General features: G+C 44.2%; 1 annotated feature.

Annotated features, from left to right (window-relative positions):
- Positions 925 to 1,489: an enhancer, noted in NCBI's record as "OCT4-NANOG hESC enhancer chr2:12766335-12766899 (GRCh37/hg19 assembly coordinates)". NCBI's record gives its function as "activates a minimal SCP1, AML or CMV promoter by ChIP-STARR-seq in naive H9 embryonic stem cells {active_cell/tissue: H9 hESC(naive)}" and the evidence as "EXISTENCE:reporter gene assay evidence [ECO:0000049][PMID:30033119]".

A 13,318-nucleotide genomic window follows, 5' to 3' on the forward strand; every position in this document is an offset into this window, starting at 1 on the left:
GACAGCTTAACAGACATCTCATCAGGGAAGGATGACTGTCAAAAGCACTCATTTCTTTTTTAAGGTAAAAAGACACAGAAGACAGAATGTTATTATGATGTAAATGAGCTGACTGGCAGGAACTCCTTCCCCAGGGAGTCTGGGGAAGGGCTTGACTACACAGTTTCCAGGTCTAGGCAGCAGGATTGGGTCTTAGATCTGCTCTCAGGAGATCAGTCAACCTAGTGATTATGGGCTGAACCACTCAGCCTACCTGAGTTCAGGCACCAATGAGATTATGGACGGGACCATTCAGCCTACCTTGAACTCAGGCACCAGTGAGTTTCTGCAGCCAGGGTAAGAGAAGAGCGAACCAACATGAGTGCATATTTTTAGACCTATAACTGACTTGCAAGTAACTTTGCTAAACATAATGTCTGGGACAGGGAGGAAGTAAGGTATATACTGTTGAAAAAGCACATTTCCTTACAGGTTTATCCTGAGGACATGGACATGTGGAACATGGTATAGAATAAGAAAAAGAAGAAATGACATAGAAGTTAAAGAAAATAGATGGTGATTTCACCCATCCTTGATTACATGAATCTACCATGTGTCTTTTACTCTCCACTGACAGAGACGCAAGTGTGTGTGTGTGTGTGTGTGTGTGTGTGTGTGTGTGTGTACACCTGCATATGAGAATGTGGTTACTGTCCCAGGTTTTAAGGAACATGATGGACTAGGGAGAAACCAATTTTAGAGACACCTGCCTCTGCCCCAACTAGCTGAGTGACCTTGGGAAGATTTCTTAACTTCTCTGAGTCTGGAATTACTCAAATATAAAATGGATGGGAGTATGTGAAACCACCTTTGCAAAAATCATAACTGAGAAAATTATGAAAGTGGAAGATAACAGACCTAACTGACCCCAGCTTACTTCTAACCTCTAAACTGTCCTTGTTCCTTCCTGGGCATAGGCTGAACTAGCTTTTGGAAGGAATTTAGTGTATAGTTATATAACAGCCCTTTGCAAAAGCCTAAACTGCTCTTGTAAAACAAAAGAAAGGCTACTGTCAGGCCTCTGAGCCCAAGCCAAGCCATCACATCCCCTGTGACTTGCACCTATACGCCCAGATGGCCTGAAGTAACTGAAGAATCACAAAAGAAGTGAATATGCCCTGCCCCACCTTAACTGATGACATTCCACCACAAAAGAAGGGTAAATGGCCAGTCCTTGCCTTAAGTGATGACATTACCTTGTGAAAGTCCTTTTCCTAGCTCATCCTGGCTCAAAAAGCACCCCCACTGAGCACCTTGCCACCCCCACTCCTGCCCGCCAGAGAACAAACCTCCTTTGACTGTAATTTTCCTTTACCTCCCCAAATCCTATAAAACGGCCCCACCCTTATCTCCCTTCACTGACTCTCTTTTCGGACTCAGCCCACCTGCACTCAGGTGAAATAAACAGCCATGTTGCTCACACAAAGCCTGTTTGGTGGTCTCTTCACACGGATGCTCATGAAATTTGGTGCTGTGACTCAGATCGGGGGACCTCCCCCGTACTCCTACTCTTTGCTCCGTGAGAAAGATCCACCTATGACCTCAGGTCCTCAAACCGACCAGCCCAAGAAACATCTCACCAATTTCAAATCCAGTAAGCGGCCTCTTTTTACTCTCTTCTCCAACCTCCCTCACTATCCCTCAACCTCTTTCTCCTTTCAATCTTGGCGCCACACTTCAATCTCTCCCTTCTCTTAATTTCAATTCCTTTCATTTTCTGGTAGAGAGAAAGGAGACACATTTTATCCGTGGACCCAAAACTCCGGCGCCGGTCACAGACTGGGAAGGCAGCCTTCCCTTGGTGTTTAATCATTGCAGGGATGCCTTTCTGATTATACACCCACATTTCAAGGGTGTCAGACCATGCAGGGACACCTGCCTTGGTCCTTCACCCTTAGCGGCAAGTCCTGCTTTTCTGGGGAAGGGGCAAGTACCCCAATGCCTTCTCTCCTTGTCTCTACCCCTTCTCTGCTTTTCCGGGGACAGGGCAAGTACCCCAAGCCCTTCTCTCCTTGTCTCTACCCCTTCTCTGCTTTTCTGGGGGAGGGGCAAGTACCCCTCAACCCCTTCTCCTTCACCCTTAGCGGCAAGTCCCGCTTTTTTGGGAGAGGGGGCAAGTACCCCTCAACCCCTTCTCCTTCACTCTTAGTGGCAAGTTCCACTTTTCTAGAGGCGCAAGTACCCCAACCTCATATCTCTGTGCCCCAATCCCTTATTTCCACGCCCCAACCTCTTATATCTCTGCACCTCAATCCCTTATTTCCGTGCCCCAACCTCGTATCTCTGCACCCCAATCCCTTATTTCTGTGCCCCATCCCTTATTTCCATGCCCCAACCTCTTATCTCTGCACCCCAACCCCTTTTCCAACTTTTCTGGAAGGTAAGAACCCCTGAACCCCTTCCCTCCATTTCTCTACTCTCTCTTTTCTCTAGGCTTGCTTTCTTCACTATGGGAACCTTCCACCCTCCATTCCTCCTTCTACTCCCTTGGCCTGTGTTCTCAAAAACTTAAAACCTCTTCAACTCACACCTGACCTAAAACCTAAATGCCTTATTTTCTTCTGCAATGCCGCTTGACCCCAATACAAACTCAACAGTAGTTCCAAATAGCCAGAAAATGGCACTTTGAATTTTTCCATCCTGCAAGATCTAAATAATTCTTGTTGTAAAATAGGCAAACGGTCTGAGATGCCTGACGTCCAGGCATTCTTTTACACATCAGTCCCTTCCTAGTCTCTGTGCCCAGTGCAACCCGTCCCAAATCTTCCTTCTTTCCCTCCTTCCTGTCCCCTCAGTCACAACCCCAAGCATCGCTGAGTCTTTCTAATCTTCCTTTTCTACAGACCCATCTGACTTCTACCCTCCTTGCCAGGCCAAGCTAGGTCCCAATTCTTCCTCAGCCTCTGCTCCTCCACCCTATAATCTTTTTATCACCTCTCCTCCTCACACCTGGTCCAACTTACAGTTTCGTTCTGTGACTAGCCCTCCCCCACCTGCCCAGCAATTTACTCTTAAAAAGGTGGCTGGAGCTAAAGGCATAGTCAAGGTTAATGCTCCTTTTTCTTTATCCCAAATCAGAAGCGTTTAGGCTCTTTTTCATCAAATATAAAAATCCAGCCCAGTTCATGACTTGTTTGGCAGCAACCCTGAGACACTTTACAGCCCTAGACCCTAAAAGGTGAAAAGGCCGTCTTATTCTCAAAATACATTTTATTACCCGATCTGCTCCCGACATTAAATAAAACTCCAAAAATTAAATTCTGGCCCCCAAACCCAACAACAGGATTTAATTAACCTCGCCTTCAAGGTGTACAATAATAGAAAAAAGTTGCAACTCCTTGCCTTCACTGTGAGACAAACCCCAGCCACATTTCCAGCACACAAGAACTTCCAAATGCCTGAACCGCAGCGGCCAGGCATTCCTCCAGAACCTCCTCCCACAGGAGCTTGCTACACATGCCAGAAATCTGGCCACTGGGCCAAGGAATGCCCGCAGCCCGGGATTCCTCCTAAGCTGCGTCCCATCTGTGTGGGACCCCACTGAAAATTGGACTGTTCAACTCACCTGGCAGCCACTCCCAGAGCCCCTGGAACTCTGGCCCAAGGCTGTCTGACTCCTTCCCAGATCTTCTCAGCTTAGCGGCTGAAGACTGACACTGCCCGATTGCCTTGGAAGCCCCCTAGACCATCATGGACACCGAGCTTTGGGTAACTCTCACAGTGGAAGGTAAGCCCATCCCCTTCTTAATCAATACGGAGGCTACCCACTCCACATTACCTTCTTTTCAAGGGCCTGTTTCCCTTGCCTCCATAACTGTTGTGGGTATTGACGGCCAGGCTTCTAAACCTCTTAAAACTCCCCAACTCTGGTGCCAACTTAGACAATACTCTTTTAAGCACTCCTTTTTAGTTATCCCCACCTGCCCAGTTCCCTTATTAGGCTGAGACACTTTAACTAAATTATCTGCTTCCCGGACTATTCCTGGACTACAGCTATATCTCATTGCCTCCCTTCTTCCCAATCCAAAGCCTCCTTTGCGTCCTCCTCTTGTATCTCTCCACCTTAACCCACAAGTATAAGATACCTCTACTCCCTCCTTGGCAACCGATCATGTACCCCTTACCATCTCATTAAAACCTAATCACCCTTACCCCACTCAATGCCAATATCCCATCCCAAAGCACGCTTTAAAAAGATTAAAGCCTGTTACCACTCGCCTGCTACAGCATGGCCTTTTAAAGCCTATAAACTCTCCTTACAATTCCCCCATTTTACCTGTCCTAAAACCAGACAAGCCTTACAAGTTAGTTCAGGATCTGCGCCTTATCAACCAAATTGTTTTGCCTATCCACCCCGTAGTGCCAAACCCATATACTCTCCTATCCTCAATACCTCCCTCCACAACCCATTATTCTGTTCTAGATCTCAAACATGCTTTCTTTACTATTCCTTTGCACCCTTCATCCCAGCCTCTCTTCGCTTTCACTTGGACTGACCCTGACACCCATCAAGCTGAGCAAATTACCTAGGCTGTACTGCCGCAAAGCTTCACAGACAGCCCCCATTACTTCAATCAAGCCCAAATTTCTTCCTCATCTGTTACCTATCTCGGCATAATTATCATAAAAACACACGTGCTCTCCCTGCCAATCGTGTCCAACTGATCTCTCAAACCCAAGCACCTTCTACAAAACAACAACTCCTTTCCTTCCTAGGCAAGGTTAGCACGGTCAGAATTCTTACACAAGAGCCAGGACCACACCCTGTAGCCTTTCTGTCCAAACAACTTGACCTTACTATTTTAGCCTAGCCCTCATGTCTGTGTGCAGCAGCTGCCGCTGCTTTAATATTTTAGAGGCCCTCAAAATCACAAACTGTGCTCTACTCACTCTCTACAGTTCTCATAACTTCCAAAGTCTATTTTCTTCCTCATACCTGACGCATATACTTTCTGCTTCCCGGCTCCTTCAGCTGTACTCACTCTTTGTTGAGTCTCCCACAATTACCATTGTTCCTGGCCCAGACTTCAATCTGGCCTCCCACATTATTCCTGATACCACACCTGACCCCCATGACTGTATCTCTCTGATCCACCTGACATTCACATTTCCCCAAATTTCCTTTTTTCCTGTTCCTCACCCTGATCACGCTTGATTTATTGATGGCGGTTCCACCAGGCCTAATCGCCATACACCAGCAAAGGCAGGTTATGCTATAGTACAAGCCACTAGCCCACCTCTTAGAACCTCTCATTTCCTTTCCATCGTGGAAATCTATCCTCAAGAAAATAACTTCTCAGTGTTCCATCTTCTATTCTACTACTCCTCAGGGATTATTCAGGCCCCCTCCCTTCCATACACATCAAGCTCGAGGATTTGCCCCACCCAAGCCTGGCAAATTAGCTTTACTCAACATGTCCTGAGTCAGATAACTAAAATACCTCTTATCTAGGTAGACACTTTCACTGGATAGGTACAGGCCTTTCCTACAGGGTCTGAGAAGGCCACCGCAGTCATTTCTTCCATTCTGTTAGACATAATTCCTCAGTTTAGGCTTCCCACCTCAATACAGTCTGATAACAGATGAGCCTTTATTAGTCAAATCAGCCAAGCAGTTTTTCAGGCTCTTAGTATTCAGTGAAACCTTTACATCCCTTATGGTCCTCCATCTTCAAGAAAAGTAGAATGGACTAAAGGTCTTTTAAAAACATACCTCACCAAGCTCAGCCACCAACTTAAAAGGGACTGGACAATACTTTTACCACTTTCCCTTCTCAGAATGCAGGCCTGTCCTCAGAATGCTACAGGGTACAGCCCATCTGAGCTCCTGTACAGACGCTCCTTTTTATTAGGTCCCAGTCTCATTCCAGACACCAGACCAACTTAGACTGTGCCCCAAAAAAACTTGTCATCCCTCCTATCTTCTGTGTAGTCATACTCCTATTCACCATTCTCAACTACTCATACAGGCCCTGCTCTTGTTTACAGTGCTGGTTTACACTGTTTTTCTAAGCCATCACAGCTGATATCTCCTGGTGCTATCCCCAAACTGCCACTCTTAACTCTTGAAGTAAATAAATGATCTTTGCTGGCAGGACTACGCTGAATCTCCTTGGGCACTCTCTAATCAGATATCCTGAGTCATCCCAATTCTTAGACCTTTTATACCTGTTTTTCTCCTTCTGTTATTCCATTTAGTTTCTCAATTCATCCAAAACCGTATCCAGGCCATCACCAATCATTCTATACGACAAATGTTTCTTCTAACATCCCCACAATATCACCCCTTACCACAAGACCTCCCTTCAGCTTAATCTCTCCCACTCTAGGTTCCCACGCCACCCCTAATCCCGCTTGAAGCAGCCCTGAGAAACATCGCCCATTCTCTCTCCATACCACCCCCCAAAAATTTTCACCGCCCCAACACTTCAACACTATTTTGTTTTATTTTTCTTATTAATATAAGAAGGCAGGAATGTCAGGCCTCTGAGCCCAAGCCAAGCCATCGCATCCCCTGTGACTTTCACATATATGCCCAGATGGCCTGAAGTAACTGAAGAATCACAAAAGAAGTGAATATGCCCTGCCCCACCTTAACTGATGACATTCCACCACAAAAGAAGGGTAAATGGCCAGTCCTTGCCTTAAGTGATGACACTTGGTATTACCTTGTGAAAGTCCTTTTCCTAGCTCATCCTGGCTCAAAAAGCACCCCCACTGAGCACCTTGCCACACCCACTCCTGCCCGCCAGAGAACAAACCCCCTTTGACTGTAATTTTCCTTTACCTCCCCAAATCCTATAAAACGGCCCCACCCCTATTTCCCTTCCCTGACTCTCTTTTCGGACTCAGCCCGCCTGCACCCAGGTGAAATAAACAGCCATGTTACTCACACAAAGCCTGTTTGGTGGTCTCTTCACACAGACGCGCATGAAAGCTACCAGCCACCAAGTCAAGATGAGAGGGACTGGAATTCTAAATATTACCAGCCTTTATTCCAGAGGTCATAAGATTTGCAACTTCCTCAATTACTCTTGAAGATAACATCACTATTGGGAACCTAAGATCGGCCTTTTGAGATGTCTTTTCAGGTTTTTGCATTTCTAACAACCGGATGGCCCCATCTGGACTTGCCAACCAGTTCTGTGGCCACCACCCAGGAACTAACTCAGCAGAAGAGAACCACTTCTATTCCCTATGAGTTCATCCCTGAGCTAACCAATCACCACTCCTAATTCACCAGCCCCCTACTCACCAAATTATCCTAAAAAGCTCTGATTCCCAGGTTTTCAGAGAGACTGATTTAAGTAATAGTAAAACTCCAGTCTCCCACACAGCTGGCTCTGGGTGATTACTCTCTGTCTATTGCAGTTCCCCTGTCTTGATAAATCGGCTCTGTCTAGGCAGTGGGCAAGGTGAACCCCTTGGGCAGTTTCCTATGGGGAATGGTGCCTATAGCACAGAGTTGTGAGAATCAGGCGGGAAGGGGTTCTGTCCCTGCTCCTCAGATGTCCTTGACGTGTTCTCACTGCAATGCCTTTCTGCAGCCTCATTTTGGCTCCATGCTTCTTCTTAGGCTCCATCGTCTCTTCAACCATCCAGGGAGTGCACTTGGTATTTATTTTTCATCCATTTCAAATGTATAAAGTTTTCACCTTTTTGGGCTTATATACACACTACATAAAATATCCCAGTTACAGAAATATTCAAAATGGAATGTAGAACTTGGAGCCATGAAACCTAGGTTTGAGTCTGGCTTGGCCAGTTGCATGGAGGATAACTGTGAAGATGTTACAGGAAAGGGGTTCCAATCCAGATCCCAAGAGAGGGTTCTTGGATCTCGCACAAGAAAAAATTCAGGGCGAGTCCATAGAGTAAAGTGAAAGCAAGTTTATGAAGAAAGTAAAAGAATAAGAGAATGGCTACTCCATAGACAGAGCAGCCCCAAGGATTGATGGTTGCCCATTTTTATGGCTATTTCTTGGTGATATGCTAAACAACAGGCAGATTATTCATGCCTCCCCTTTTTTGACCATATAGGGTAACTTCCTAACGTTGCCATGGAATTGGTAAACTGTCATGGCGCTGGTGGGAGTGTAGCAGTCAGGACGACCAAAAGTCACTCTCATCGCCATCTTGGTTTTGATGGGTTTTGGCTGGCTTCTTTACTGCAACCTGTTTTATCAGCAAGGTCTTTATGACCTGTATCTTGTGCTGACCTCCTATCTCATCCTGTGACTTAGAATATCTTAACCACCTGGGAATGCAGCCTGGTAGATCTTAGCCTCATTTTACCCAGACACTACTGAAGCTGGAGTTGCTCTGGTTCAAATACCTCTGACAGAAATGTCACTAAACTTTGCAAGGACATCAGGGCATGAAAATCACAGACAGGAGACCACCACATGAGTGTAGCTGAGAACTAAAGCGAAGCCAGGAAATGGAGAAAAAAATGACAGATGCAAAAAAAGAAAAAAAAGAAATCTAAAAAAAAAGCAGACAAGGCTAGTCACCTGACCAATTATGGGGCCTGGACCTGGGACAGTGGGAGAAGTCATATTTGTCTGGCAGGCCTGCATGAACAAAGATAGCAAGGAGAGAAAGACAGACAATAGGATGAGGAAAACGTCTGGGGAGACAGATTGAGTTTTGCATTAGACATCCTGAGTCTCAATGCAGTGGGGGTGTTCAGTGCAATTAGCCCTTCAGGCTGGCTCAGCATTAGGGATATAAATGCTGATCATTTTCCAGGAGAGGCAGTGGTTTGGTTGAGTTCTCCACAGAACAGATAGGGTTAAAAAAAAGGGAGCCCAGAGTTCTAGAATCCATTGCAATGAGATGCGGGAGATAGAGCCAGTGATATATTCACAGAAGCAGGACTAGAGAAATAGAAAGTAACCAGAGTTCTGTATTTCCCCAAAGCCTCAGGGCCAAAGTAGAAAAACAAAGGAGGGGACATAGGAGGGAAAAGTTAGTAGAGAGAAACAGTGTTCAAAGAAACAGAAATTTGAAGAAATAGAGATGAAGGAAAGGCACCTGATCAGTCCTGATCATCTCTAAAGGGCTCTCTCTTCTGCCCTAGTCCTTCACAGCAGGGCTGTCAGGTAAGCTCTCCACTCCCGCATCAGTAAGGACAGCTCCCATAGGCTCTGTGTACAAGGTTTTTTGGTAAGACTTTATCCTTTAAATTTTAAAGGTACCGGTCTCTGTCCTAGGAGTTGGGGACCCCTGCTTTTAAAGGATGCCTTTACCTGATGATAAAAAGTAGAACATTTAAGTAGAAATGAGTAGGCATTTACTGAGGCAACTACTCAGTATCTATTATACTACCCTGATCAAATTCCCATATAAACGTATGGATAACTCACTATTTTCTCCTCCCACACTCATTCTGTCCTGGTTTCTAAACTCCAGTGTAGGTGGTGCCTCCAGCTTCCTCCAGTGATTTGCCTCCTGGCATTTGGTGGCATGGTTCTCCTTCATGGCTCCCAACACAGTGCTCCAGCTCCTGGGCCCCACCTCTAGGTCTGATCATGGAAGAGGAAAGATCTACATCAGTATTGTTTCAATTTAATGAAGAATCTCAGAACAGGAAGTTTAGGAATGAGTGTGAAATGATGTTCGGAGTACGTCTTCATTGCTTTGCTTGGGACAAAATGGCAAGGAGACAGTATGTGGGGCAGGCAGGAATGGCAAAATTAAGAGAAATGCTGATTTATTTTGACTTGTCATTTCCAGATTGGAGGAAACAAGCACATGTTACAAGGTCAAAATAAAGCTGTCAGAGAAAATAAAGAGGTGAAATGAGTTAGAGAGAGATCCTGGAACACAGTGAGCAAACAGAATGCATGAGACCATCAGCAAGAGGGAGGTCTTAAAGAAGAAACTTTGGCCGGGTGTAGTGTCTCATGCCTGTAATCCCAGCACTTTGGGAGGCTGAGGCAGTTGGATCACGAGGTCAGGAGATTGAGACCATCCTGGCAACATGGTGAAACCTCATCTCTACTAAAAATACAAAAATTCACTGGGCATGGTGGCACATGCCTGTAGTCCTAGCTACTCGGGAGGCTGAGGCAGGAGAATCGCTTGAACCTGGGAGGCAGAGGTTGCAGTGAGCCGAGATCATGCCACTGCACTCCAGCCTGGCGACAGAGTGAGACTCCGTCAAAACAAAAAAACAAAAACCAAAACAACAACAACAACAAAAAAGAAGAAACTTCACCTTGCAGAAAGTAACAGATGCTAATTTATCATTTAGAGATTGCTAAAAGGAGAAGAGGAGAATGAGAATGGAGAGAAAATTGTTTGGATGTGGGAGGGCATTAGATTCCTTCAATCTCAGCCTCAAAAATAGCCTGAGAATCTTTATATCAAATAAAGCAGAAACAAGAAAGAGAGAAGGGAGGGAATAAGGTAGAAAGTTTGTTGAACACTCAGGATTTATATGCATTTGCATATTTAACTATCATCCTACTAAACCAGGTAGGTTTGCATGACCGGGAGAAGGTAAATAATTGTCCTTGAAGTCAAATGTTAGTTTGCGGTTCAATTAGGACTTGGATGTGGATCTGTCCAAGTCCATAGGTTACATTTCTCCATTTAGTTTTTTTCTCTCTTTTTCTCTACATCTTCCACTCTTGTTTCTCCTGCCATCAACAATTTTTTTTTCAGTGAATTTATATAAGGGCAAATATTCTTCTATGATCTCATGAGCTACCGCCAAGAAAATTTTTCACATTTGCTTACATCTACAAATAAATAAGAACACGATTTTATTTCCTGGAATCAAAAAATTACCTATATATAAATCAAATACTTTTTTTCTCATAGGTTTCCTTTCTCAGTAAAGCCACCGTGTTCTATGGCCAATGATGCTACCTCCTCAGCATTCTCCTTAAATCCAGTCTTGCTGTCTCTCTTCCTCTTCTTCTTGTGGTTCAAAGCCTTATCTTCACTCGCCTGGAAGACCTTTACATATTCCTCCAGCTTTTTCTCTTACCAATCTTCATCTCCCTTACTGTCACCCTATTATCCTACATCACCTTAGACATGTGGATTTATTTCTTATACAAAGAATTTGACTGTATTCTCACATTCATGTTCAGCCTTGCCCCACTTTCTGAATGACCATCTATCTCCCTCCTCCACCCTGGCACACCTCGCTGGCAAACACCTACTCAGCCTTCAATTCCTGCTGAGGAGGCTTTCCTGAGCAATTCTCTTCTGTTCTCCCCCCAGTAGAATTGCATTCTATTCTCCACGGAATTCCATCAGAGAAGCTGTAACATATCGTTATACTTATTTGCTTATCTTCTACCCTTACTAACCTGTGAGCACACTGGGAACAGAAGCACCCAATTCATCTTTGCATCCCAGAGCTGGGCACATGTTTGTTGAAAGAATGAATCAGTCAATCATTCAAGGTTGATCAAAAGTAACCTTAACTGAATAACCTCATATTTTTTTCTGGTCTACATTAAACTTGGTCATGCTGGCAATTGGAATTAGAACCTTTGTAAATACAAACCTAAACAAATCACATTTTAAAAGAAACTCCTTTTGGTTTTGTTCTTTTCTTGGATGCTTTCTTCTGCCCATCAGAATTTAGGATGGAAACTTGAATAGGCAATTAGCATGACAGCCCCAGTGATTACTCCCATAAGCTACAGTCCTTAAGTGGTAGAAAATAGAGGCCTTGGGTAGACTTGAGTGTATTTCCTTATTAGGAAATCACAGTGATTTCATGAAAGTCACAAAGGAAATGTTTTTACTGAGAAATAGCATGCTGTAACTAATGAGGAAAGGAAAAAAGTATGTATTTTTAAATCCCACATACTAACACTATGTCTAACAATGAAATTATGTATTCAGGAAATTCTAAGCTTACACTTGGCCCAGTTGAACAGAGAGATATTAATTTATCTGAAGCCCCAGTGTATAAAAAGACATCTGACATGGTCATGGCTTGCAGCACTGTGTCTGTTATCAGTTTCAGGGGCACTTTCCCAGGCATGCCGTCATGGAATCCTCACAATGGGTAGGTGGCTTTCACATGTTTAACAGAAATGGGAATTGAGGCTGTGATTTTTAAAGCAGCTTGTCTGAAAACATGCAGTGGTCAGACCAGAGCCAAGACATGAGCCATGTCTGCCTGCTTGTCACAGCTCCAGAGCTGTACTCCTATGACAGTGTGCAGACCACATATTGTAACTCAAATAAATTAACCTAGAGATTAGTATGAAATTGTTTATATGATTACTAAAATACATGGTAGAAGCTTATTGAGTATCTTTGTTTTTTTTTTGAGATGGAGTCTTGCTCTGTCACTCAGGCTGGAGGGGAGTGGTGTGATTTCAGATCATTGATTGCAACCTCTGCCTCCTGGGTTCAAGCAATTCTTCTGCCTCAGCCTCCCAAGTAGCTGGAATTACAGGCACCCACCACCACTCCTGGCTAATTTTTGTATTTTTAGTAGAGATAGGGTTTCACCATGTTGGTCAAGCTTGTCTCAAACTCCTGACCTCAAGTGATCCACCCGCCTCTGTCCTTGAGTATCTTTGAAACTCTCTTGAATAACCCTTGAAAAATGAATTTTAAATGAAAAAAAAAAGGAGGAAAATAAAGCTTGGGACACAAGCAACTCTGGCTCTAGTCCTGGCTTTGATGACAAATTCACAGTTTGCCCTTGAGTGAGTCATTTTTTCAGGCTTGACCTAAGTCAAATAAGATGTTTGGGCTTTGTAATTTCAAAAGTGCATCTATCTCTGGCTATCTTATGCTATGGGAAAGAAGGCAAGACTAAAGAATAAAATATTCTGGATATCCTTGCAATGACCAATTCTTAAACTGGAAAGAATCCTCAGCAGGGTTGACAGTGGCTGATCAGCACCCATCATCCACCAACATTCACTTTTAAATAAATGAATTAATGAATGAATCAGTTATCCCTTCTTATAATTTTACTTGGGTTCAATTTTTAAGAAATTTATATTCCTGTGCATGTTTTTTACATCTTGTCTATGTCCTGGTGTCGACCAACGTGGACAATGTAAATCAGGATAGCATTAGAACAAAGCAAGAAAGATGTACAGAGGGGAACGGAATTAACAGCACATAATAGTGACATCTCAGCTCAGCCAAGGCAGAAGGGCAATTGTCAGGAAGGCTTTTGTGAATCACTGACTTCGTAAAGTGTTGATTTTTTTTTTTTTTAATTTGAGGTGGAGTCTCGCTCTGTTGCCCATGCTGGTGTGCTGGTGTGCATTGGCGTGATCTCGGC

Source organism: Homo sapiens, chromosome 2 (assembly GCF_000001405.40).
Source record: "Homo sapiens chromosome 2, GRCh38.p14 Primary Assembly".
Classification (NCBI taxonomy): Eukaryota; Metazoa; Chordata; class Mammalia; order Primates; family Hominidae; genus Homo; species Homo sapiens.